Genomic DNA, 24,507 nt, shown 5'->3' with positions numbered 1-24,507 from the left:
CCCTTTCTATTGTTCCTCTGTCTTCGCTCTAATCCCCCCACTCTTCCTCTCTGTGTGTCTGTTTTCTGTAGAGCTTGCTTGTTTCGTTGACTATTTCAGTTTATGCCCCAGCAGCATAATTTACCATTCTCTTTTGTTATTTCCTCAGGTAGGTAGTTGATTATTAGCTCCTTATTCTGGCAATAAATAAAATTACATTTTAAGATGTCTCAGAGAAATATCCTCTGTTTCTTTTTTAATTTTCAAAATATGGAAATGTTAAAGGTCATTTTTAAATTGTGTTCTTTTTTTCCCCACTGTTTACAAAATTTCCAAGGCTCAACCTCTAAATTATTTATTTTTCTCATTGATCACTCTATTACCACTTTAAAAATTCAACAAATATTTAGTAAATCTCTGTCACGTACTGGACACTGTAGGCCCTGAAGACACAGACCAACTCCCTGTCCTCTAGGAATTCTAGGGAAGCCAGGCAGTATATGTGATACTTTATCTATTAATTTTTATTTTTTGAGATGGAGTCTCGCTCTGTCACCCAGGCTGCAGTGCAGTGGCGCTATTTCGGCTCACTGCAAACTCCCGGGTTCACGCCATTCTCCTTCCTCAGCCTCCCGAGTAGCTGGGACTACAGGCGCCCACCACCACGCCCAGCTAATTTTTTTGTATTTTTAGTAGAGACGGGGTTTCACCATGTTAGCCAGGATGGTCTCGATCTGCTGACCTTGTCATCCACCTGTCTCGGCCTCCCAAAGTGCTGGGATTACAGGCGTGAGCCACCGTGCCCGGCCTATATGTGATACTTTATTCATTTATTCATTCATTAATTCATTGGAGATGTAGTCTCACTGTGTTGCCCAGGCTGGAGTACAGTGGCATGATCTCAGCTCACTGCAACCTCCACCTCCCAGGTTTAAGCAGTTCCCCTGCCTCAGCCTCCCAAGTAGCTGGGATTACAGGCACTTGCCACCACACTCGGCTAATTTTTGTATTTTTAGTAGAAACGGTTTCACCATGTTGACCAGGCTGGTCTCAAACTCCTGACCTCAAGTGATCTGCCTGCCTTAGCCTCCCAAAGTGCTGGGATTACAGGCATATGCCACCATGCCTGGCCATAAATGGAGCATATGTTCTAGAGAAAATGAAACAGGAAGAGGGAGCAGGGAGTTCACAATGGGATATAGTTTTAAATAAGGTCATCAGAGGAGATGCTCGTTGAGAAGAAGCCATTTGTGCAAAACCTTGAAGGAAACGATGCAGCAAGTACTGGGGATTTACTGAGGGAAGAGTGTCTTGGGTGGGCGGGAGTAGCCAATGCTCCTCCCAGCCAGGAGCCTCCTCTCAGGAGGTGCATGCCCAGAACAGCAAAGAGGCCACCATGGCTGGAGTGGAGCAAGTAGAGGAAATATGTCAAAGAGGCTCCTGAGAACCTTTTTAAGCATGAGGCCTTTTAAGCCATTGCAGGGATTTTGGCTTTACTCTGAGATGAAGAGCCATTGGACAGATTTGAGATGAGGAAGTCATAGATCTTGTGCTATGATGTGTTATTGTCACATATTCTTTCAAGAGGGTGAATTACTAAGCCTTTGTTCTAGCTCATCTTGCGGTAAATATTTTCTGCCCAGTTAGGAGGAAGAACTAGTGATAAATGACCCAATATTTTCTCTTCTCTTCCTTCCACACCCCAGATCTGTTGTGTAAATGCAAAGAACATTATTACTGTTAATGTAATTATTTATTAAGCCACATCTCTAAGTAACCAAAAGCCATCAATAATTTTAGGCTTTCTGCAAAGTCTCTCAATCCTGATTTAAAGTGTTTATTTATGACTTATTTTGGTACTTCTTCCAAAAAAAAAAAGATGAGAAGGTGAGGTTTAAAATGAAAAACATTTAAATTTAAAGGCTATGAAAATAAAACTTAAAAATTAAAATTATGTAGGAAGAAGTAGCAATCCATACAGATGACTATTGTCAAGTGATTTACCACTCAATTTACCCATAAGCGGAATTCACGGTAACCAAACTCAGAAGGAAAACAACAAATAACATAATTATCTTTGTCTGATTTTTCCAGACAATAGCACTCACTAGTCCTTGTACTTCTTACTCTCGTGCAGGCTATCCTGTGAACTTATGTTTCATAATGTCCTTTTTCTTTGCAAAACAATTACTTTCTAAAAATAAACTGGTCAATATAAATTTCACCTTATTTCTACTAGGTTGCTTGTTTATTTAGGCGGTGTCATTTCTGCTGAAAGAATCAACTTCCTGCTAAAATTGTTAATTCACTCACTGTAGGCATTAAAATCAAGGTTGACGGGCCGGGCGCGGTGGCTCATGCCTGTAATCCCAGCACTTTGGGAGGCCGAGGCGGGCAGATCACCTGAGGTCGGGAGTTCGAGACCAGCCTGACCAACATGGAGAAACCCTGTCTCTACTAAAAATACAAAATTAGCTGGGTGTGGTGGCACATGCCTGTAATCCCAGTTACTTGGGAGGTTGAGGCAGGAGAATCACTTGAACCCAGGAGGCAGAGGTTGCTGTGAGCCGAGATCGCACCATTGCACTCACCTAAGCAATAAGAGCAAAACTCCGTCTCAAAAAAAAAAAAGAAAAAAGAAAATCAAGGTTGATGTTACATTTTCTTTTCTTTTTTTTTTGAGACGGAGTCTCGCTCAGACTGTTGCCCAGGCTGGAGTATAGTGGTGCGATCTCGGCTCACTACAACCTCTGCCTCCAGGGTTCAAGTGATTCTCCTGCCTCAGCCTCGCCAGTAGCTGAGATTACAGGCATCTGCCACCATGCCTGGCTAATTTTTTTTTTGTATTTTTAGTAGAGACAGAGTTTCATCACGTGGCCAGGTTGGTTTCAAGCTCCTGACCTCAAGTGATCCGCCCATCTCAGCCTCCCAAAGTGCTAGGATTATAGACGTGAGCCCCCGTGCCCAGCTGATTTTACATTTTCAATTGTCTGTTTCACTAGATTGTCTGCTACCTACCTTGTATCCTCTAACAGATAGTGTTCAGTCCCCTACCCCCAACTCTAAAATCTAAAAAACTCTGAAAACAGAAGTTTATGAAAAGTTGTTACAAACTCATTCAGAAGCAAAAACTTGAACTGAAATAAAGACAATTTAAAAATCTTCATTTGTCCAACTTGCGAATATTTGCATGTTTTGCTACAGAAGTGGTAATAGGTTCAATTATGGGTGCCCTGCAGATTCCGCTGGGAGTTATGTAACATTTAGTACACGCATCTTACTACTTTTCCAAAATTTGAAAATATAAATTCCAAACCACATCTTCCTCCAAAAATTTCAGAAAAGGGATTGTGGACTTGGCAATAGCCAATCCTGGGATAATGATTGGAATAATGTAGGTGCCTAGTAAATGTGAATTGAAGTTTGATTAATATGAGATACTTAGAAATTAGAAACATTTCTGCAGCCAGGTCTTGTGACCTTGAGACCTCAGAGAATAAAATAGATAATTCAGTCTTTAGAAGCAGGACACCAAAATGTTTCCTTAATTGTTCTCTTAAGGTAGTAGTAATTGATCTTAGGTCAGGCTAATAAATCCAGAAAGAATGAAGTGTTACCCTATCAGTCAAAATTGTTCCTATTAGTATCCTAGAAGGTGCTTTTTATGCCATTCACATATTTTGCATGTTGTCTCTGTATCTGTACTTATCACTTTGTATCTTTCTGTTTTTTGTTCAACATTTTTTAAAGGTGTCACATCAGCTTTTTTAATACTGGTGATTTAATTGCAAAAGCACACATAAACAGTTTGAAAGGTGTGAGAAGAAATTCGTAAGTCACATGGGGAAACAGCAACAAAGCTAGCATTCAGTCTGGAATGCATCCACTGTGCAAAACAAATTCAACTGCCAGTGGGTCAAATGGTGTATCCTGAGATTGAGTGAAAAATGAGTTTGATACAAGAAGCGCTTGTTTTATACAAAGGATACAGTGGGAAATATCAAGATGAGATGAATATAGGCTGTACCCTCACAAAGCTGAAGCTTAATAGGGAAAGCAGAACATGTATATAAAATAATAAACTACATAGCAGAACATACCAGACATCATGTGAAGATGAGTGGGGATAGGTTAAATGGAGAGGATGGACTTGCAGAATACATGGATGAGAAGGACGGAATTTTCGCTGTCAAGCAGTGTTGACTAGTAGAGATACACATAAACACATAAATTATTATGGAAAATGGTAAATAACATAATAGGAGCTAAGGAACCATAGATAAGTATAGAAATCCTTGGGGAAGGTAGGCAGGAATTGATCTTCAAGCTGGTCTTGAGGGACACAAGATTTTGCCCAGAAGGCTTGGAGGTAGGTCAAGGAATCTGTTCTGGGCAGAGTAAATAAGATGCTTGTTGTTTGAAGTATCACTAACAGAACAGTTACATACAGTAACTCTTTATATTTTATTGTCATTGCAGGTGAATCAAACATCCCTTCTGGAACAATACAGAGTAGGAAAGGTTTGCAGAATAAGAGTCAGTTTAGGACCATTGCACCAAAAATTGTGCCCAAAGTCCTAACGTCCAGAATGCTGCCATGTCATTCACCATCACGCTCTGATCAGGTGAATCTGGGACCCTCCATCAACTCCAAGCTGCTGGGGATGTCCACCCAGAACTATGCCCTGATGCAGGTTGCTGGCCAGGAGGGGACATTTTCTCTTGTTGCTCTGCCACATGTTGCCTCAGCTCAGCCAATTCAGAAACCCAGAATGTCCCTACCTGAAAACCTGAAACTTCCTATTCCTAGATATCAACCCCCTAGAAATAGCAAAGCATCAAGAAAGAAACCCATCCTGATCTTTCCTAAGAGTGGCTGTAGCAAAGCTCCTGCCCAAACCCAAATGTGTCCTCAGATGTCCCCTTCCCCACCTCACCACCCTGAACTCCTGTACAAACCCAGTCCATTTGAGGAAGTACCATCACTAGAGCAAGCCCCAGCCAGCATTAGCACAGCTGCGCTGACCAATGGAAGTGACCATGGGGACTTGAGACCACCAGTGACCAACACCCATGGCAGTCTGAACCCTCCTGCTACCCCAGCATCATCCACACCAGAGGAGCCTGCCAAGCAGGACCTCACAGCTCTTTCAGGGAAAGCACACTTTGTAAGCAAGATAACATCTAGTAAACCTTCTGCTGTTGCCAGTGAAAAATTTAAAGAACAAGTTGATCTTGCAAAAACCATGACCAATTTATCACCAACCATTCTTGGCAATGCAGTTCAGTTGATCTCTTCAGTCCCCAAAGGGAAACTGCCAATCCCACCCTACTCAAGAATGAAGACAATGGAGGTTTACAAAATCAAATCAGATGCTAACATTGCAGGTTTTTCTTTACCAGGACCTAAGGCCGACTGTGATAAGATACCCTCCACCACAGAAGGCTTTAATGCAGCCACCAAGGTGGCAAGCAGGCTACCTGTTCCACAAGTGTCACAGCAGAGTGCCTGTGAAAGTGCCTTTTGTCCACCCACCAAACTTGATCTTAACCACAAAACAAAACTGAACAGTGGAGCAGCAAAGAGAAAAGGAAGAAAACGGAAGGTACCAGATGAAATTTTGGCATTTCAGGGAAAAAGGAGGAAATATATCATTAATAAGTGTAGAGATGGTAAAGAAAGAGTAAAAAATGATCCCCAAGAATTCAGAGACCAAAAGCTGGGGACCCTGAAAAAATACCGTAGCATTATGCCCAAACCTATCATGGTCATACCCACTTTGGCCTCCCTGGCTTCTCCAACTACACTACAGTCCCAGATGCTTGGGGGCCTAGGACAGGATGTTTTGTTAAATAATTCACTCACTCCTAAATATCTTGGCTGTAAGCAAGACAACAGCTCTTCCCCTAAGCCCAGCTCCGTGTTCAGAAATGGATTCTCTGGCATTAAGAAGCCTTGGCACAGATGTCACGTCTGCAACCACCACTTCCAGTTCAAACAGCACCTTCGAGACCACATGAATACACACACCAACAGACGCCCTTACAGTTGTCGGATTTGTCGCAAGTCCTATGTACGTCCTGGCAGCCTGAGCACACACATGAAACTTCATCATGGTGAGAACCGTCTGAAGAAACTCATGTGTTGTGAGTTTTGTGCAAAAGTGTTTGGCCACATCCGAGTCTATTTTGGCCATCTGAAAGAAGTGCATAGGGTTGTGATCAGCACTGAGCCTGCGCCCAGTGAACTGCAGCCAGGAGACATACCAAAGAACAGAGACATGAGTGTGCGAGGCATGGAGGGATCATTGGAGAGGTGAGTGCCAATGTAATGGAGACCTGGCAAGAGAGTCTGTTTTGATTTGGGGAAGAGGGGAAGATTTCATATTCAGAAAGGAGAGTTTATAAAACATCTCTAGGATTAAGATTTCATAAAGTAGCTATGTATACCTCCTAGATCTGTGAAGAATGATCTTGTTTCTCTCTGGTTTCTGATCATCCATACTTGGAATTACCCTAACCAATCTAGTAAAGTACTGTATATAGTTCCAGTGGTCTTTACAAGTAATTTCCCCCAAAATCACATCCACAGAATTTGCGTTATTTTAAACAGCATCATTTGCCCCAAAATGCGGCATGACCCATGGTTGGGGACTCAGAGTGGGTGGGTCTGTCATGTTGACCCTACCTTAAGGTGCCCAGACCCCACCCTCTTCATTTGCCCTGTTTTTCCCATCAGTTCGGGTTCACTCTTTCTGGTGTCATTCCTTTTTGCAAGCACTGCTTCCTGGTATTATTGCTATGGGATCCTTGGGGTGTCATTTCACCAGCCGGAAACCTCTGTGGCCAGTGGCGCCTTGGCCTGAGTTTTGCTCTGGCCCATTAGGCTCGTTCCACCCACTTGGAACCTAGCAGGCTGCACTCAGCTCATGCTACCGGCCTAGATCCCATGCCTGCCAAGGGCGAGCCAGGCACAGAGTGGTGAGGGATGTGTGAGTGAGCGTGGGGTCTGGCCACTGCGCATAGGCAGGCACGCCGGCTGCTGCTGCAGGCCAGGCAGCTCCAGGTGCCACCTCCTTGCAAGGCTGTGGCTGGACCAGGCACATCACAAGCAGCTTCCACGGTTGGCACCAGGAACATGATGTTGCCCAGAAGCTTGGAGACTAGGGAGTCACTGCCCTGGCTCAGGGGGCTCCCAGGACAGAGCTCCCCAAAGGGCCGCAGCTCTTCTCTTCACCTGCTGTGTGGCAAGCAAGAGGCGTGTTTCAGCCTGTTTGTGTTACAGCTCTCTTAGCCCCACCATTTGGCAGGTCTCAAGTTCTTGTCCTGCGTTCAGGAAGAATGAGGTACACAGAGAAGTAGAGGGTGAGCAAGATGAAGAGGAGCTTTATTGAGTGATAGAACAGCTCAGAGTTGAACTGCAGGGGGCAGTTCCTCTCTGCAGGCAGGTTTTCCCCGTCATCTCTTGTGCTCTCAGCAGAGAGGGTAGCTCCTCTCTGCCACTGGTCGTCCCATTGTCTCTTCAAGTCTGGCTAAGTCCGGGGCTTTTATGTGCCTCAGAGGAGAGGAAATGCGTGCAGTTGGTCCATGGGCAGTCATGGACAGACCCAGAAAAGCACCACAAGTTCCCACTCCAGTCCACATGACTGGCAACCTGGCCCCCAGGCTTCAGGGCTTCTCTGGCTTGAAGGTGGGGCTTCACCGGGGACCTCCCCTTTTCTGCCCAGGAGCTTCTTTGCTCCCTGCTTCTGTTTATGGCACCCAGGCTGTTCATGCTGAGGGGGCACCTGCAGGCTGGCACCGAGCTGTCCTGAGCACCCCTTCCTCAGCCTCCCTTCCATGCTTATTGGCACCCAAAGTCTGGAGCAGGCCAATGGGGTAGGAGGTGGGCATATCAGCACTGCCTCAAGCGTGTGCACACCCAACCAGGTTACAGCAGAGCCCAGGCTCAGCCCCAGCCTTGCTTTGAGATTGGAGCAGGTGCTGACAGCAGGGAGAAGCCAGGCAGCAGGAGCAGGTGCTTCTTGAGCCCGTGGGGGGAAAGGGGCCTTCCTGGACCCCTGAGAGTGCAGAGATGCCTGGATCTGCAGCCACAGCAGGGTAGCTACAGTGATGCCTGGGAGGGCAGGAGCGCTCCTGCCTGCTCCCAGCTTCCAAGAGCACAGGGGTGCCTGGGTCACAGCTGCAGCTTGGGCAGCTGCAGGCAGTTGTGCCTGGTAAGCTCCCACACCGTCAACTTGGAAAGGGCAGGGCTCGTGCTTGTCCCCAGCTCCCACTGGCTCCATGAAGTGTGGCACCACCCCTGGCCCAGCTCTGCCTCAGGGCCCCTCTCTACCCACTCCTGCATGCCCTAGTGTGCTGTTTTCCCCTGCCAGCAGGTGACTCAGCCTGGCCCCATCGCAGTGGCTCTCATGGCGGCAGGTTTCAGGGACTGCCCACCTCCTCTCCATGTTTTCCCAGCAGCAACAGCAGGCAAGGTGCAGGTGGTGCAGTGGCCCTGGCCAACCCTGCACAAATGAACCTGACACTCTCAGGACTAGCCCCACAAGTCCCGGCTGCACCTTCAGCTGGGTGCTCACTGGCTCCTTTCTGAATATGAAATCTTCTCCTCTTCCCCAAATGAAAACAGACGCTCTTGCCAAATGTAGTTTGGACATTGTACCTAAAAATCAAAATCTAACTCTAGGAAAAGAAGGAAGAAGTGAGGTTTCATGGTTCATTAGTGAAAGGCACAGAGGTCTTAAAGGGGACAGAAATGTCTAAGAAAAAGGAGAAACTCTAGAAAAGCAAGGAAGAAATAGGGTAGGCACCCTTTATTTTTACTGAACATGACAGAGTGAGCCAAAATTGAATAGAAGGTATTGGTGCTCAAGGTTAGGGAGAGCCACAGTGGGTAGGGTGGGACCGTTACCTTCAACAGAACCGAGGGTGTTCCCGTGCCCTTCACGCGCTCTTACGTGACTCTTCCACGTGATTGCTCCTGTCCCTGTGGTAACCAAAGACGAGTTAGCTCGCCTGGGACAGATGCGTGAAGAGGACTGTTGACTAAATGAACCCTGGTAGCTGGAGAAATGTGTGGCCACAAGCAGGAGTGACAATTAGTATTCACCACGGTCCTTGCAGAAGGTCTTCCCAGGTGCTCTCTGTTTACCCCAGCCCTTGTCTTTCTCGTCAGTGTTATGTTTTAGATCCCTGAAGGCTGACAGCTGAGAGGAAAGATTCCAATTGCATTTTTCCATGAAATCTTATCTTCATTATTATTGGCCTTTTCAGGGAAAACAAGTCCAACCTGGAAGAAGACTTCCTTCTAAACCAGGCAGACGAAGTCAAATTACAAATCAAATGTGGTCGTTGTCAGATTACTGCTCAGTCTTTTGCGGAAATAAAATTTCATTTACTTGATGTTCATGGAGAGGAAATTGAGGGCAGGCTACAAGAAGGGACCTTCCCAGGAAGCAAGGGGACTCAGGAAGAGTTGGTGCAGCACGCTAGCCCCGACTGGAAAAGGCATCCTGAGAGAGGGAAGCCGGAGAAGGTTCATTCCTCCTCCGAGGAATCACATGCATGTCCAAGACTGAAAAGGCAGCTCCACCTTCATCAGAATGGCGTGGAAATGCTCATGGAAAATGAAGGACCCCAGTCAGGAACCAACAAGCCAAGGGAAACCTGCCAGGGCCCTGAGTGTCCTGGCCTCCACACGTTTCTCTTGTGGTCCCATTCAGGCTTTAACTGCCTGCTTTGTGCAGAGATGCTGGGACGGAAAGAGGACCTCCTCCACCACTGGAAGCACCAGCATAACTGTGAGGACCCTTCCAAACTGTGGGCTATTTTAAATACGGTCTCCAACCAGGGAGTGATCGAACTTTCCAGTGAAGCTGAGAAATGAGACCCCAAGGCAGCCTGGGGTTAAGGAGAGAGCTCTGCCGCCACCTTCCTTCAGAGCTTCGTGCTTTATGGTGGTGCTTAGTCACAAAGATCAAACAACAGGATTGGTGTGAGTGAACAGAAATGATTTTTGTACATGGTTTTATTTTCTTAACGAAATAAAATATAAGCTCTCGAAGCATATTTTTCTAACTATATGCAGTCTTATTTTAAAATACGTACTGATTCTTAATATCTTAGACTTTCAGAATAAATAAAAAGATCAAAATTTGAAGATTGAAATTTAGCAGAATATAGGCTGTTCTTCAAATACAGCTCTCAGTGAAAACATGCATGTGTCCTTCCTTTTGTTCAGATGTTTTCTGCTTATATAGATTGACAAATGTCAAAAATGTCCAGGCAGCAAAACCCTTTTAATCTCAACCATAGTATCAAGTTAGATGGTAAATGCTGATATTTATTAAATTCTCTGGTTTATTTGAATATGATATAGAGCAGTATTTTAATAAGATTGTCATCTACAATAATTTAAAATCCATGTTTTCAGGACTCAGATTTTTGTTTCTTGTAATTTTGCTATTTTCTTAAATGCACATTTCATTGAAGATTAGTTGTTGGCAAGTCTTATAGCTGTAGTGTTCCATATCAAAATAATTTTTTAAAAAATTTAGTACTTCAGCTAATAAAAAGTCTACTTGCTTGGTAAAAAGTTATTTTCAAGTAGTCTTTGGGACCAGAAAATTTACAACCTGGAAAATGAACTAGATAGTTCAGTCCAGATGTGTAGGGGTCTCAACTGCTTTCCCTCACTCCCAAGTAACTTCAGAGGGTTGTCGCTAGCTGATCAATTTTAGATGGAACTGTACTTTTCAAGCCCAGTTCTCTTTGAAAGTCAGAAGTAAATGATTGCCTCTTAAATTCCTGGGAAATTACCTCGAATCAGTAAAGTTGTCATTTGAAGCTTCTGGCCATCCTGGCTGCAAAATCATTTTCTTAGAAAAGTGGAGTTTCAGCACTCATCCTACTGATAATCTCAGTCTTGGATGAAAGCACCATACGTGTGGCCAGCCCTGTTTGCTGAAACTCAGCCCAGGTATGGTCATAATATTTTGTGCTCAAGGAAGTTACCTAAACAGAGAAAGAACTAAATTCTAATTGATAAGCTGATGGATCTTACATCTTTTTTTAATGTCTGATTTTAAAAGCCAGTGTTTGTAGACATGATTTGCCTCAAATAGTACAAGAGAAAACTTAATCTTTGTCTTTTTGCAAATAGTTTTGTAAATTTGGGAATAAGAGAGTAGGGATAGAAATATCTGAAAGATTGTGTTGTGGTTTGTCTGTTGATCACGCTTTACCCAGTTTCAAATAGGGAATATCAGACCTCCACTGTTTGATAGTTTTAGAACTTCTTGGTTAATAATGAAGTCGCTTTACCATTCAAACCAGTTCCCAGTTTGTTTTTTGAAATATTGGTCTCAAAGACATTACCAAATGACTTCTACAAAGAATACTACTTGAATTCAAACCATGAAACTTGAATTCAAACTATGAAATAATTCATAGACTGCTCAATCCTCAGATGCTAAGTCGTATTTTAGAAACACTGGCCGGTTGGCCAAAGCAGAGTGGAGTGTGTGGAGACAAAGGTGTGGGACAGAATACACCCACCCAGCACTCGGGGAAAGTCTCAAGTCCCCTAGATTGTGCAGGAGCCCACCTGTGGCCTTTATTTCCCCACATATTCTTACAGCAAGGCCATAGGCAGTCTCCAGAAAGGAGTACAGTGAGGAATGGGGAAAAGAGCAAAGGTATGGAGAAGATATGATTGGCTCATGATTCAGCACTCTGGCTGGATCCCCATTTCAGAGCAGCTGCATTTCCGAGCATTTCAGAGCAGCAGCTCCAATGTACTAACTAAATTTAGATGACTCAACAGAGCACTGATCCATAGGGAGAGGGAGGGCGCAGGTGGGGAGCCATGAAAAAGTGACACTCATCTTTAAGAAAATTCTTTTTGTTTTTTTGGAGTGCTGCTCAGGCTGGAGTGCAGTGGCACGATCTCGGCTCACTGCAAGCTCCACCTGCCGGGTTCACGCCATTCTCCTGCCTCAGCCTCCCGAGTAGCTGGGACTACAGGCACCCGCCACCATGCCCGGCTAATTTCCTTTTTGTGTGTGTGTGTGTGTGTATTTTTAGTAGAGACGGGGTTTCACCATGTTATCCAGGATGGTCTCGATCTCCTGACCTCGTGATCTGCCCGTCTCGGCCTCCCAAAGTGCTGGGATTACAGGCGTGAGCCACTGCACCCAGCCGAAAATTCTTTTTTTAAGATAAGGAAGGTTAGTGGGGCATAGGACCCTCCCCGGATGTCAGTGTGTATGGGTTCATTTGTGGTACAGTGTTACAGTTCTCAGCTTTTGAAAACTCCCCTGCCTTACAATGCAGACAGCCCCAGTGCCACCCAAAATAAGGAGTTTCTGGCCCTTACTGGTAGTGCTTCATTGAGAATGGTGGGAAGAGGGCCTCCTACTGGGGAGGCAGGAAGATGAGAGAGAGTATTTAGCTAAAGTTACTTTGGGAACAGCTCAGAGCCTTTCTTGGGTGTGGAGATGTTACTGGAACAGTCCCAACCTGTATACTTAGGCCAGAGGTGGTGTGGTGTGCAACAAAGTGCTCCAATACTTACTGTGTGTGGCCTCGAGAGAGTGTCCCCTCTTAGGCTCCATTCTCTCCTCTGTGAAATGGGGGTGACAATCCTATGTCAAGGCACTGTTGTGAAGAGTAAAAGAGACACACACGAAATGCCTGGCACCTGTGGGCCATGTGATAACTGGTGGCTGGTATTTATTAGGCTTTTGGCCAGACTTGGGAGAAGAGGTATTTTGTACCATATAAAAGATTGTAAAAAGCTTGAGTAGACAGATCTTAAGTGCCGAATTCAAGGATGGAAACTACTAGGAACCACAGAAGTTGGCATTTTTGCAGGAAATGCATTTTATTTTTATTTTATATATTTTTTTCGAGTTGGAGTCTTGCTCTGTCATCCAGGCTGGAGTGCAGTGGCATGATCTTGGCTCACTGCAACCTCCGCTTCCCGGGTTCAAGCAATTCTCCTGCCTCAGCCTCCCGAGCAGCTGGGATTACAGGCATGCGCCACCACACCTGGCTATTTTTTTTTTTTTTTTTTTTTTAGTAGAGATGGGGTTTCACCATGTTGGGCAGGCTGGTCTCGAACTCCTGACCTCATGATCTTCCTGTCTTGGCCTTCCAAAGTGCTGGGATTACAGGCGTGAGGCACCGCACCTGGCCATGAAATGCATTTTAATTTTTAAATAAAAACTAGGGTTTGGATTGCATGGAGGTTTGGTAAGTGTCTATTCAATCAGAATAGAAAGCAACATTCACTAAATTATTTCCATGCCAGGTTTCACTTTGGGGCCTGTATTCCTTAGGTCTCAGCCCATGCAGCACCTCATTCCTGCGGTTGTCCCTCTGCCCTTCCCTTGCCCCTGTTATAGCTGTCATCATAGCACCCACCTTGCTGTCCAGAAGCTGAGGGTGGACTTGTCCATCTCTCACACTAGATAATGAGCCTCATGAGGGCAGGAACTGTGCCTGTGAACAGAGGTTCAGCACAGAGCCCTAGGGTCCAGTGGCTGACATGGAATAGTGCACAGCAGATGTTTGTTGAAAAAAAAAAAAAAAGGATACATCAGCTAAATAAAAGCAAAGTTAACACTTTTTATGAATAAACCAGCCTTAGAAGAAACCAAACTTGTAGCTAGAAAGGCATGGAGGCAAACTTGGTCTTAAATTCAGCACATTCATTTTGCTTCATGTCTTTTGCTTCTTGGAAAATTGTCCCAACGCCAGCAAAACTAGATTTTTTTCCTCTTCTTTTGGCCCTAAATTATTTCTGAAAGTTACAGCATTTTTAGATTTGTATTGTTTTATTACCTGTCATTTTTATTCACGTCCGCTTTTGTTGCTCTCTCTCTCTCTCACTGGACCTCTTCCTAGTTTAACTTGACTATTCCTCTGTTAAGCTGTTCCTCATATGGAAAGTTGCCTCTTCATCAGCACACCATAAATAATCCAACCTGGGTGCGTTCCACTGCCTTCTCTGGCTACAGACTCCTCCCCTCCCCAGCTGTGCGGCTCCAGTTGTCTGTGGCCCCAGTGACATGGTTGTTGGCAGTAAATGTTCAACTTCATTTATTTCCTAGAATTCTCAGATCTGGACTGGTTTGCTCCATTCAAGCTGCTGACAAGCTTTGTTAGGTACATATTTTATAGCATCTCCCCTTTTCACTGGGCTCCTGAGAAAAAGTGTCCTGGTGAGTATGACCTGGAATTTAGCAGAACAGGTTTTTAGCTTCAACTTTATTCTGACTTCTCTGACGTTGGACAATCAGAAGCTTATCTAGGCTTGTGGTTTAACCTAATGTATATTTAAACAATATCCACCTCTTCAGGAATATTACTTCTAGAGGTGAACTGTTTATTGTGTCTTATATTTGGTCACGGTCATGGTTATTCCTATAATAAAACTATAGCCACAATTTTGGGGGCACATTTTAAATTTGTGTTTAGTATGCAGACGTTGGCTTAGGAATACATCACATTTTCCATGCTCTGAAGTGTGAATATATTTCAATGCATTGCTCAACTGTAGGAATGCCACCCATTGAAGGAAACCAAATGTGACAACTAAAAGGTGTACAGATTATTCCTTCTTATTTTAATGTGAAGCTAAATTTTCTTTTTCAATTACATTTGCTCCTGTCTTCAGAATTGCCCCACCCCCTTAGCTTAAGAAGAAACAATAGGATGGCAATTCTTGCCATTTTAAGTATGTTCCAAAAACAAAATCTCAAAATTATTAGAATTATAATAGATCATATTTTTTAATAAATAGCCACTGAGCACTCCTCAATGAAAAGATTGTGCCTTTGTTCATTAAATATGAATTTAATCTCCACCTAGGAGTTGCAAAGAGACCACCAGGCCTTTGCAGAGACAAAGCACCGAATTTAGTCTGATTGCTGCCTGAATTGTAATGCATATCTTACTACAAAAATTCACCTATGGAAGAGATCCAAGTAGCTCAAACACATGCACTGCACAGCCAGCCCTAGAGCTCTGGCTGTCTCTGAAAGATATTTAAGGTCTTGTGCTTAGGAACCTAACGTGCTATCTTCTCCCAGTCTAATGCAAATTAAAGCACAGTTCAGGTTTTCATAAGACATTCATTGAACCAAGCCTTTTTGACAATGGTTACACCCAAGGAAAGTTATTCTAAAATGTCCAAGAAAACTAAGTCTTTCAAATGGTCTTTTTTCCTTCTGGAAGTAAAGGGCGGGCAAAGAGAAGCAGGAGGACGGGAATAATGTGTCAAGATGTGGCATGAGGAGCTTTCTGATGATGGAAGGCCCAATGGGGCACTGTAAGGGGAAGGGGGGAACATGTCTCTAGTGTCCAGGTGCACAGTGCCATTAATATTTTGTTGTAACGGAAAGAAATTTGACAGTGCTTATCACAATCTAAAATGCACATTTTGACCCAGGATCTCTATTTCTAAGAATTTGTCCCATAGATAGTACCATACAAGGACACAGGTAGATGAGCAAGGATGTTCACTGCAGCATTGTTTATAGTTAGCAAAAGACTAGACCCAACTGAAATGTCTATCAGAGCTGGTAAAAAACATGACAGTACACCATATAATGGAGTAGCATGGTGTGGTCGAAAAGACTGAAGTGGCACTTTATGGGCTGGAATAAGTATTGTGTGAAGGAAGCAAGGTACAGAAGAAAGTATACCGTGTCCCCATTTGCTGTTTAAAAAGGGGGAAGAAAGAGGGAGAAAAAGGATATATGTGTGCTCATATATGCACAGAAAATTTACAGAAGGTGACTGCACTATTGGAATGTTTTGTTGCATTTTCCTTAAAAACTTTTCCTCATATTTCATATATATGCTTGGCATAGCAGAATTTAACATTATTTACAATCAAATCTGGCAGTATTTTCTTGCATGGCCTTTGCATTTGGTAATATGCTTAGAAACTCCAATGCTTACTCAAGTGTTCATAATTATTTTCGTCTAGTATCATTACAGGTTCCTGTTTTTTTTTCTTTTTTTTTTTGGCAGAGTGTTGCTGTGTCTCCCAGGCTGGAGCGCAGTGGCATGATCTCGGCTCACTCCAACTCCAGGGTTCAAGCGATTCTCGTACCTCAGCCTCTCAAGTAGCTGGGACTACAGGCATGCGCCACCACGCCCGGCTAATTTTTGAATTTTTAGTAGAGACGGGGTTTTGCCATGTTGGCCAGGCTGATCTCGAACTCCTGACCTCATGTGATCTGCCTGCCTTGGCATTCCCAAAGTGCTGGGATTACAGGTGTGAGCCACCGCGCCCAGCCCATTATGGTCTCCTTTATATATCACAGTGGTTAGAAACATGGGCTTTGTTGTCTTATGGTTTTAGATTTCATTCCTGATTCTACCAACTATTTAGCTCTGTAATTCTGGCAAGTTCCTTCATTTTTTTTAACCTTAAGTTCAGGGGTACATGTGCAGGTTTGTTATTTAAGTAAACTAGTGCCATGGGGATTTGTTGTACAGATTATTTCATCACCCAGGTATTAAGCCTATAGTACCCTTTAGTTATTTTTCCTGATCCTCTCCCTCCTTCCACCCTCCACCCCACCCTCCAGTAAACCCCAGTGTGTGTTGTTCCCCTCTATGTGTTCATGTGCTCTCATCATTTAGCTCCCACTTATAAGTGAGAACACGTGGTATTTGGTTTTCTGTTCCTGTGTTTGTTGGTTCCTGTGTTAGTATGCATGGCTGCATAGTATTCCATGGTATATGTATACCACATTTTCTTTATCCAGTCTACCATTGATGGGCATTTTAGGTTGATTCCATGTCTTTGCTGTTGTGACTAGTGCTGCAATGAATGTGTGCATGTGTCTCTATGATAGAACAATTTATATTCCCAGTGATGGGATTTCTGGGTCGAATGGTAGTTCTGTTTTTAGGTTTTTGAGGAATACCAAACTGTTTTCCACAATGGTTGAACTAATTCACACTACCACCAACAATGTATAAGCATTCCTTTTTCTTTGCAACTTGCCAGCACCTGTTTTTTTTTACTTTTTAATTATAGCCTTTCTGACTGGTGTGAGGTGGTATTTCATTGTGGTTTTCATAGGGCATTCATTTGATTTGCATTTCTCTAATGATCAGTGGTGTTAAGCTTTTTTTCATGTACTTACTGGTCACATGTATGTCTTTTGAAAAGTGTCTGTTCATGTCCTTTGCCCACTCTTTAATGGGGTTGTTTTTTTCTTGTAATTTGTTTAAGTTTCTTAGAAATGCTGGATATTAGACCTTTATTAGATGCATGGTTTGCAGATATTTTCTCCATTCTGTAGGTTGTCTGCTCTCTGTTGATGGTTTCTTCTGCTGTGCAGAAGCTCTTTAGTTTAATTGGATCCATTTGTCAACTTTTGCTTTTGTTGCAGTTGCTTTTGGCATCTTTGTCATGAAATCTTTGCCCATTCCTATGTCCAGAATGGTATTGCCTAGGTTTTCTTCCAGGATTTTTATAGTTTGGGGTTTTACATTTCAGTCTTTACTCCATCTTGGGTTGATTTTTGTATATGGTGTAAGAAAGAGGTCCAGTTTCAATCTTCGGCATGAGGCTAGCCAGTTATCCCAGCACCATTTATTGAATAGGGAGTCCTTTTCCCATTGCTTGTTTTTGTCAGCTTTGTCGAAGATCAGCAAGTTGTAGGTGTGTGGACTTGGCTTTACCAGATTAAGCTGAAGTTGTGCTGTTTTCATTAGGGTAGGCCTCAGTAGAATTGTGAAGGAGGGAACATCTGTCCTAATCCCTCAATTGTGGTGCCCCCGTGCATTTTCTCACTTGAGTCCCTACTGCCTAATAGTCCCAGGAAGATGACGACCCACAAATAAAAAAGATGTGTTTACAACCCAAGACACACATTAATACATACAAATACTATACACAGATAGATACCTATACAACTGAGACAAAAGGTTTTATTTTATAAAAATAATACAGTATACAAAATAATTTACATTGTATTTTGATATGTCCTGTTCTAATTCGTTTTTAAAGGCTGGATACCTTGCACTAAGTTGATTTCATGACCCACTAATGAGCAAATAAAATCTGAAATATTTGGCTACAGACTTTTGACTTTCTGACCCCTCCCCTACATCATGGCCTTTCTGGGCTGTCACCCAGTCTCTCAGATCCCTGCTATCAGAGGCTTGATGAATGACGCTCATCTCTTCCCACAAACTTAAATTTCTTAGTCCTTTTGAAGGATGACCTCATGCCAAAGGGATAACTAATGCTGGAACTTCAGACATCCCATGGCCGACCATAAGGTCTCTGGGGGATACTTCAATTAGTGCCCTGGGTGGCTCCCCTTTGCCCCTTTGGAAAAGGGACATTGCCACCCATCTAGGGACTCACCCCAGTAAGCTGCCAGGCCTTGAAATCCTTTTCAAAGTTTTACTTGACTAGAGTTGCCAACTCTTTGGGATTGGGCTGGGTTTGAAATTGTCTCTCATTTCTTTCTTTCTTTTTTTTTTTTTTTTGAGATAGAATCTCGCTCTGTCGCCCAGGCTGGAATGCAGTGGTGGGATCTCAGCTCACTGCAACCTCCACCTCCTAGGTTCAAGCGATTCTCCTGCATCAGCCTCCCATGTAGCTAGGACTACAGGCTCTTGCCACCATGCCCGGCTAATTATTGTTTTGTCTTTTTTTTAGTAGAGATGGGGTTTCACTATGTTGGCCAGACTGGTCTCGAACTCCTGACCTCAGGTGATCTGCCCGCCTCGGCCTCCCAAAGTGCTGGGATTACAGGTGTGAGGCACCGCGCCTGGCCTAAATTGTCTCTCATTTCTTATCCTAATTCAAACAAAATGGTTTGGCAGAAATTAAGTCCTCAGGAGATGCAAATTCAGGCAGCACTGGAGCCAGCAGCCTTCCTCTACTCTTCACCCTCTCCTCCTCCGCTTTCCTAGGAAGCCCACATCTGGGCAGTTTTTCTGGGTGTATGGATAGGACCCCTCCCTTCTCCTCCCCCGGCCTCACTTTCCTGTGGAATGTTCACCTGCTGTTCACCAGGCCTGCTGGGTCACAAAGGTAGAACGTGGTCAAAAAGGGCTCTTAGGCTTCAAGGTAATCTTTGTCTTTCCATCATCTCTCCGGAAACAGATTCTGAAATGAGTCTGAAACTTCCATTGAGGGAAACTAACGCTACTGTCTCCTCGCAGGTCAGATGCCCAGGGCCACTGAAGAGAAAACTCCGCTTTTCATTTAGCTGTCACTTGGCCCAAACCAGTCAAAGGTAACACCTAGTTAATTCACATTCTCCCCTGTGGATTCCTCCGAGGTCCCCCTTTTTCAATTTTAGTGTGTTGGCTTAAAGAAAGTGGGTCTGGTTTCCCTTTTAATAGCAACTTAAGTCCATCCCAAGTCGCCAAAAGACTGATGGAACGACTCCCAGGTCCTCCAGGGGTCTCCCCAAATCCACACGCAGGTCCCGGGTGCCCCGGTCATGTGGAAAACCAGGCACCCAGCGTGCCCACCTGGGGGTCGCAGGCGTGAAGAGCCAGCCTGGCACAGAGCCGGGCTGGCTTTGGGAGGGTCCTCAAGGCTTCCGGGCAGATGGCTTTACCTGGGAGCTGCTGCTGCTAAGCTGTACTTTTCCATTTGCACATCGATGGGAGAACAGAATCTGGCTCTTGCAATGATAATAAAAGGCACTAGGGGAGAAGGAAATTGGCAGGTATTAACGAATAATTGAATGTTTTCATTTTGCTTTGATTTTCATCAGTGTGCTGAAATACTACCTCAAACGTTCATCGTCTTATATGGGAAATAATAATTATAGTAATAATAATTGTTATAACTCCGAGGGCCTTTATTGCTGAAGAGAGCAAGCTTAGGCAATTATCACAAAGAACTCAAATGCTTTCCTGGGTCCTGTGGGATTAATTGGGGATTTCAGCCCAGTCACAATTGGGGAAATTTCCACATCACAAAATCCATTGCTATAATGGACACTAATTGGCCTCCTTGTTGACAGTCCCAGAAGAGAAAGCCCAGAGCCCTAAAACTGAGCGATTTGCTAAAGGGTTGAGACAGTAGATAGGAAATCATGCTGCTGCAACCTTAAGTTTGCTCTTTTCCAGGGATAAGGAGAGTGTGTTGGGCTGCAGGGCTGTCAGTGTCTCAGGTAATTGATTCAGAGATAGCAAAAGGCCTTCTAGTAGTACAAGGAACTTATAATATGTTCGGCAAGACCCTAAGCTACTCCAGCATTAATATTCTTTTAACTTAGGAAAGAAACCGCTGAATTTCAGTTGGTGGCAAAGTAGATAGAGGTGTAGATGAGAGAGCTCGTTCTCCTTATGTGAGAGTGTTTGACTACCTTTCAGGAAAACAGGCTGACTGCTCTCTTTCTACACGAAGTGGCTGGGAGGTGTGATTTGCAGGGACCGCATTAGTCCTAAGTAAAGAGAGCAGGCTCTGGCACATTGTGAGGTTGAATTAAACCTTTCACACTCTGAAGCACTGCATTCTGAATCACATCCAATCATTAGCTAATAATACCTGCCAATTTTCTACTAAGTGCAGTCTGACATTGGTGCTAGTACACCAGGAGCAAGCTCTTAGATCATCCCAATATTTTCTGTCAGATTCATCAACATCGTTGTGAAAATGTCTTAAATGGACAATTCTTCTAGAAGACAATTAAAATAAGACAGAAAAGATGGGCAACCGCTGAAAAGTAAGTTGTACCTGAAGCATGAAGAAAATCTCCCCCCACCCGCTCCAAGAGCTATCTTATTTCCCCCAATTTTAAACTAATATTTATGGTGCAACCATGGCCCTACCGGCCACACCATCCTGAATGTGAACTGCCCAGGGAATAGGGCTGAAAATGGCAGTCCTCTCATGCCAAGGTCTCACCTTGGAGCTGCCCGCTTTTGCGCTCCCAGCCCAGTCTTGCCAGCTTTCTCCTCTGGAGACGGGGCTACCCTGGCCCCACTTTGCCGCCTCACCTCTCCCATGTCCCCAGTTCATTTGCTTACTTGTGTTGTCACTTCCCATTCCCTAGAAGGCCCCAGGCCCTGGGAGGTCCCAGCTGTTCTCCACTTCAACCACATGGGGCTGAGTCCTCCCCTTCGAACAGGGACAGTTTTTTATTAGGCTCCAAACTTGGAGGTAGCCCTCAATTTCTTACAACAACCTTTGGTTCCTTGTTTACCCTCTTTTTCTGCCCAAAGTTAAGTTAAGCTCCACAGGAGCTTGGTGAGAAGGCCCTGTGACCACATTCCTCCCCCCAGCAGCCTGCAAGCTCCACGCAACCTTCATCACTTTGGGGTGAGCTCTCTGCTGCTGGATTCCCTGCCTGGGGCTGTCTCCTCCAGCTGGTGTCAGTTTCCCCCAGCCAAGGCCTGCTGTCATTCCCCAGAGCACCTCCCACCCTGCCTCCTGCTACGGAGTAATGTCTTCAAAGTACACAGTAACATGGTTTCCAGCAGAACATAGGCAAAGCAAAAGTTTACAGGATTCATCATTAGGAGAGAGGGAAGCTGAAGAAGGAAATTGTAAAAGGAAAACATTAAACATTCCCTGAGTGAAAGGTAGGGGAACCCCACTCACTTAGGGAACAGCTGCACCACCTCTCCAGACTCTGGCTCAGTCCAGAAAAATTCCATGAGTGAGGGGGGCATGAAGGCATGGCCCACAGTACTTTAACTGTGGTGGCTGTCCCTGGCTTGCCCACTCTCTTGCTGTCCAATCACATGCAGTTCAATTCTCCCGAGAAAACTGCAGGCGCGATGGTTCTCCACTGATTGTCTTTGTTGCAGTCCTTGAACTCTCAAGGTTGCAGAAGTTGCTAGGGTTCTAACTGTCGAAGTGAATCGTGCTCCTCAGTGTCGAGGGTCAGCGTGCACTGTTTCTTTCATGGAACACGATTAACAACTAAAACAAAGGAAAGATCAGACCGGGTGTGCGGCTCAGGTGACAACGGTGTTCCTGTTCAGGCCAGTTTCCTGCTCTTCCTACCAAACTGGTCAAAGCAATTAAATGTGTGAACTGTGTTATTTATGAGTTTCCAGGGCTGTAAAAGTCATGTCTGTGCTAAGAGACCAAAAATACATATGCCTTGAACACCACAGCAAACACCCTCTTCTGTCAAACAAACAGATATTCTCTTCTCCAAAATCAAAACCTCCACCAACTCAGAAAGTTAGCACAGGACGGATTTCTCGCAGAGAGTGCCTCTCTAGGCAGGTGAGCCGTGCATGGGGCCCAGCGACAGTTGCCGATTGTGATTTATTAGTGGAGGAAAATTTGGAATTGGACTTTACCGTTGGGATTTACTTGCATTTGAAAGCAATGCAGTTAGCAGTCCATCTTTCAACACTGAATGTATTTTCTCTGCTTTTATATCTTTCTGATGAATTAAGCACTTATGTGAGGTGAGGGATTGAAAACACTAGCAGCCTAATCTCTCAGTAGATCTGCTTGCCAGATAACAGCTGTATGGAAAAACACGGGGACCAATTTTACATTGTTTCTCCACCAATTCATACCAGCCGTGAACTGTGATGCTCCCCCCAATTCTACAATGGGCAGATAATGAGAGTTCCTTGCCCTCCAGTTCTCCAAGCCGTTTCGAAGAAGACCTGCTAATTGAATTCAGTTGTTTGCAGTTTTAAATGTTCATGCTTTCCACAAAACAAGAATATATTAAACTCATTTCATCTGTCATCCAAGAAGAATTGGAGCCTGCATTTTTATTACCAACTGACTTGTGTGTTCATCTTTATCCCAGATTTTTTTTGAAATGTTTACAATGTAATTAAAAACAATCAAGTCAAATGATGTATTTGAATTGTTCCCTTTGGGAGAAGATAAAGGAGAAAATATAGCTACAATTGCTTCATTTTTGCTGAGTATTTCTGCCTTCTCAACAGAAATACATCATGTATCTGCTCACCTAGAGCGTTTTGTAATGTCACTGGTGATTTAACAATTACAAAATATTGTAATTAAATGTTCAAATGCTCTCTTCTGTTTTCCCATTACAAATGTTCATGGAACTTGATTAATTTCAGCCAGGACCTGGCTTTGGTAATATTGTTTCCTGCAATGCACACCTCCAGGGAAAACTATGATCTGAATCCTGAAGTCAGAACCAATTAAACTCTTCCATTTTCCCCGCTGCAGCCTGAGGATGAGCCACATTTTTCAGGCACGGCTCAAACAGGCTTGTCAGGTCTCTGGGGCTCAGTGCCCCTGGGCACTGCCTGCCTGCTGCCAGCTGTGAAGAGCATTCTGTAGGTACAGGCGCATAATAGGGAAGAAAATGATAAATCCACAAAGGCAGGGGCCACAGTGGACAGTTCTCAGCTGCAACGCTTACTCAGCATCAGGGTGGCCTGGTCCCGGTCTGGAAGCCCTGCCTATGGGCACAAGAATCTGAGGCTGATGGTCAGAAAGAGGTGGACAGCTAGGAAGTTGTGGAGCAGAAAAATGAAACCATTGTATTCCTAAACGTCAGAAGGGGAGAAATGCTTCCAAGAAAATTAGCCTTTGGGCTGATGAAAAGCAGGAGCATATCCTTAGGTATTTTTTCCTTAGGTATTATAATGGAATTTTTATCCCGAAGCACCAAGATGACTTACCTAAGGCCTGAGAGCAAGCACCAGGGAGAATTTCAGTGTCCAGAGCTCCACGGGCCAGCGGGAATGTGATGGGAGGCACCAGAGGCTGTGAAAGAGAAAGAAAACTGGGTAGAGAAGATGGGGGGGTCTCTGGCTGGAAGAGAGCTGGGATGGCTTGAAAGGAAAAGACCAGTTTGGAAGGAGGGACCCTTCCCAAGCCCTGCAACGGGCTCAGCCCTAGGCGGGTTCAGGCAGAAGCCCTGATGGCCACAGCCAGAGGCCGCTGGGCCTGCAAATGCCCCTCCAGCCTCCTCCACCCAGGGAAGTAACAAAGGCAAATGCTGCTACACTCAGCACTGTTCTTGAATGTAAGGGATGCTTGACCTAACCAGATTCTCCATCTTGGTGCTTCGGGTAAAAATTCCATTATAACTTCTGAAGTCCCGTCAGATTTATGACTGGAGAGGGCTGCATGCGTGGGAATTGAGCTGTTTGTTATGCCTGCCCTGCCTCCCTCCCCCAGCCATCGCCCAGTAACGACAGGTTTACTCTCAAAACCCCTGAACTGGTCTGAAATGCACCTTGCTGTGAGACTGTGGAGATAAAACAGGATTTAAAGGCAATGCATTTTCAACTGGGCAACCTTATCTGGATTGACTGCTCTGGGTTTTCAGCTAAGTGTGAATGTGAAGGATAATTACCGTCGTGTGTTACCTGAGATTACAGGGTTGTGTTCCAACTAATGACACCACGAGAACCAAGCAGTTGTTAATATTTAATCAGTCTCTTGGCCTAACAATTGGATAAATGAGATGTGTAATTACACAATTATAAAAGACATTTCAGATAGGATTGGTACTATTATTAATACTGAAGGTGAAAGATGGGAGAAATAGACCACTGGGTCATTTC

General features: G+C 44.4%; 1 protein-coding gene across 56 annotated transcripts in view, besides 1 other annotated feature; it reads left to right on the top strand.

Annotated features, from left to right (window-relative positions):
- ZNF438 (zinc finger protein 438) overlaps positions 1–10,194 on the top strand; it is a 187,780-nt gene extending 177,586 nt beyond the window's left edge. For 52 of the 56 annotated variants that reach the window (XM_047424729.1, XM_024447871.2, XM_011519372.3 and 49 more), the window contains 2 exons: positions 4,459–6,295; positions 9,253–10,194. In XM_047424729.1, coding sequence (XP_047280685.1) covers positions 4,459–6,295; positions 9,253–9,865 — 2,450 coding nt within the window. In that variant the 3' untranslated portion in view covers positions 9,866–10,194. The remainder of the gene's footprint in view (positions 1–4,458; positions 6,296–9,252) is intronic. The other 4 variants (NR_170659.1, NR_170660.1, NR_026560.2 and 1 more) reach the window with 1 other exon arrangement.
- Positions 7,564–8,064: an enhancer, noted in NCBI's record as "H3K4me1 hESC enhancer chr10:31135691-31136191 (GRCh37/hg19 assembly coordinates)". NCBI's record gives its function as "activates a minimal SCP1, AML or CMV promoter by ChIP-STARR-seq in primed H9 embryonic stem cells {active_cell/tissue: H9 hESC(primed)}" and the evidence as "EXISTENCE:reporter gene assay evidence [ECO:0000049][PMID:30033119]".
- Positions 10,195–24,507: the final 14,313 nt, after the last annotated feature.

Source organism: Homo sapiens, chromosome 10 (assembly GCF_000001405.40).
Source record: "Homo sapiens chromosome 10, GRCh38.p14 Primary Assembly".
Classification (NCBI taxonomy): domain Eukaryota; kingdom Metazoa; phylum Chordata; class Mammalia; order Primates; family Hominidae; genus Homo; species Homo sapiens.
Note: the sequence above shows the minus strand (reverse complement) of the source record. Positions and strands in the feature narration are given on the sequence as shown.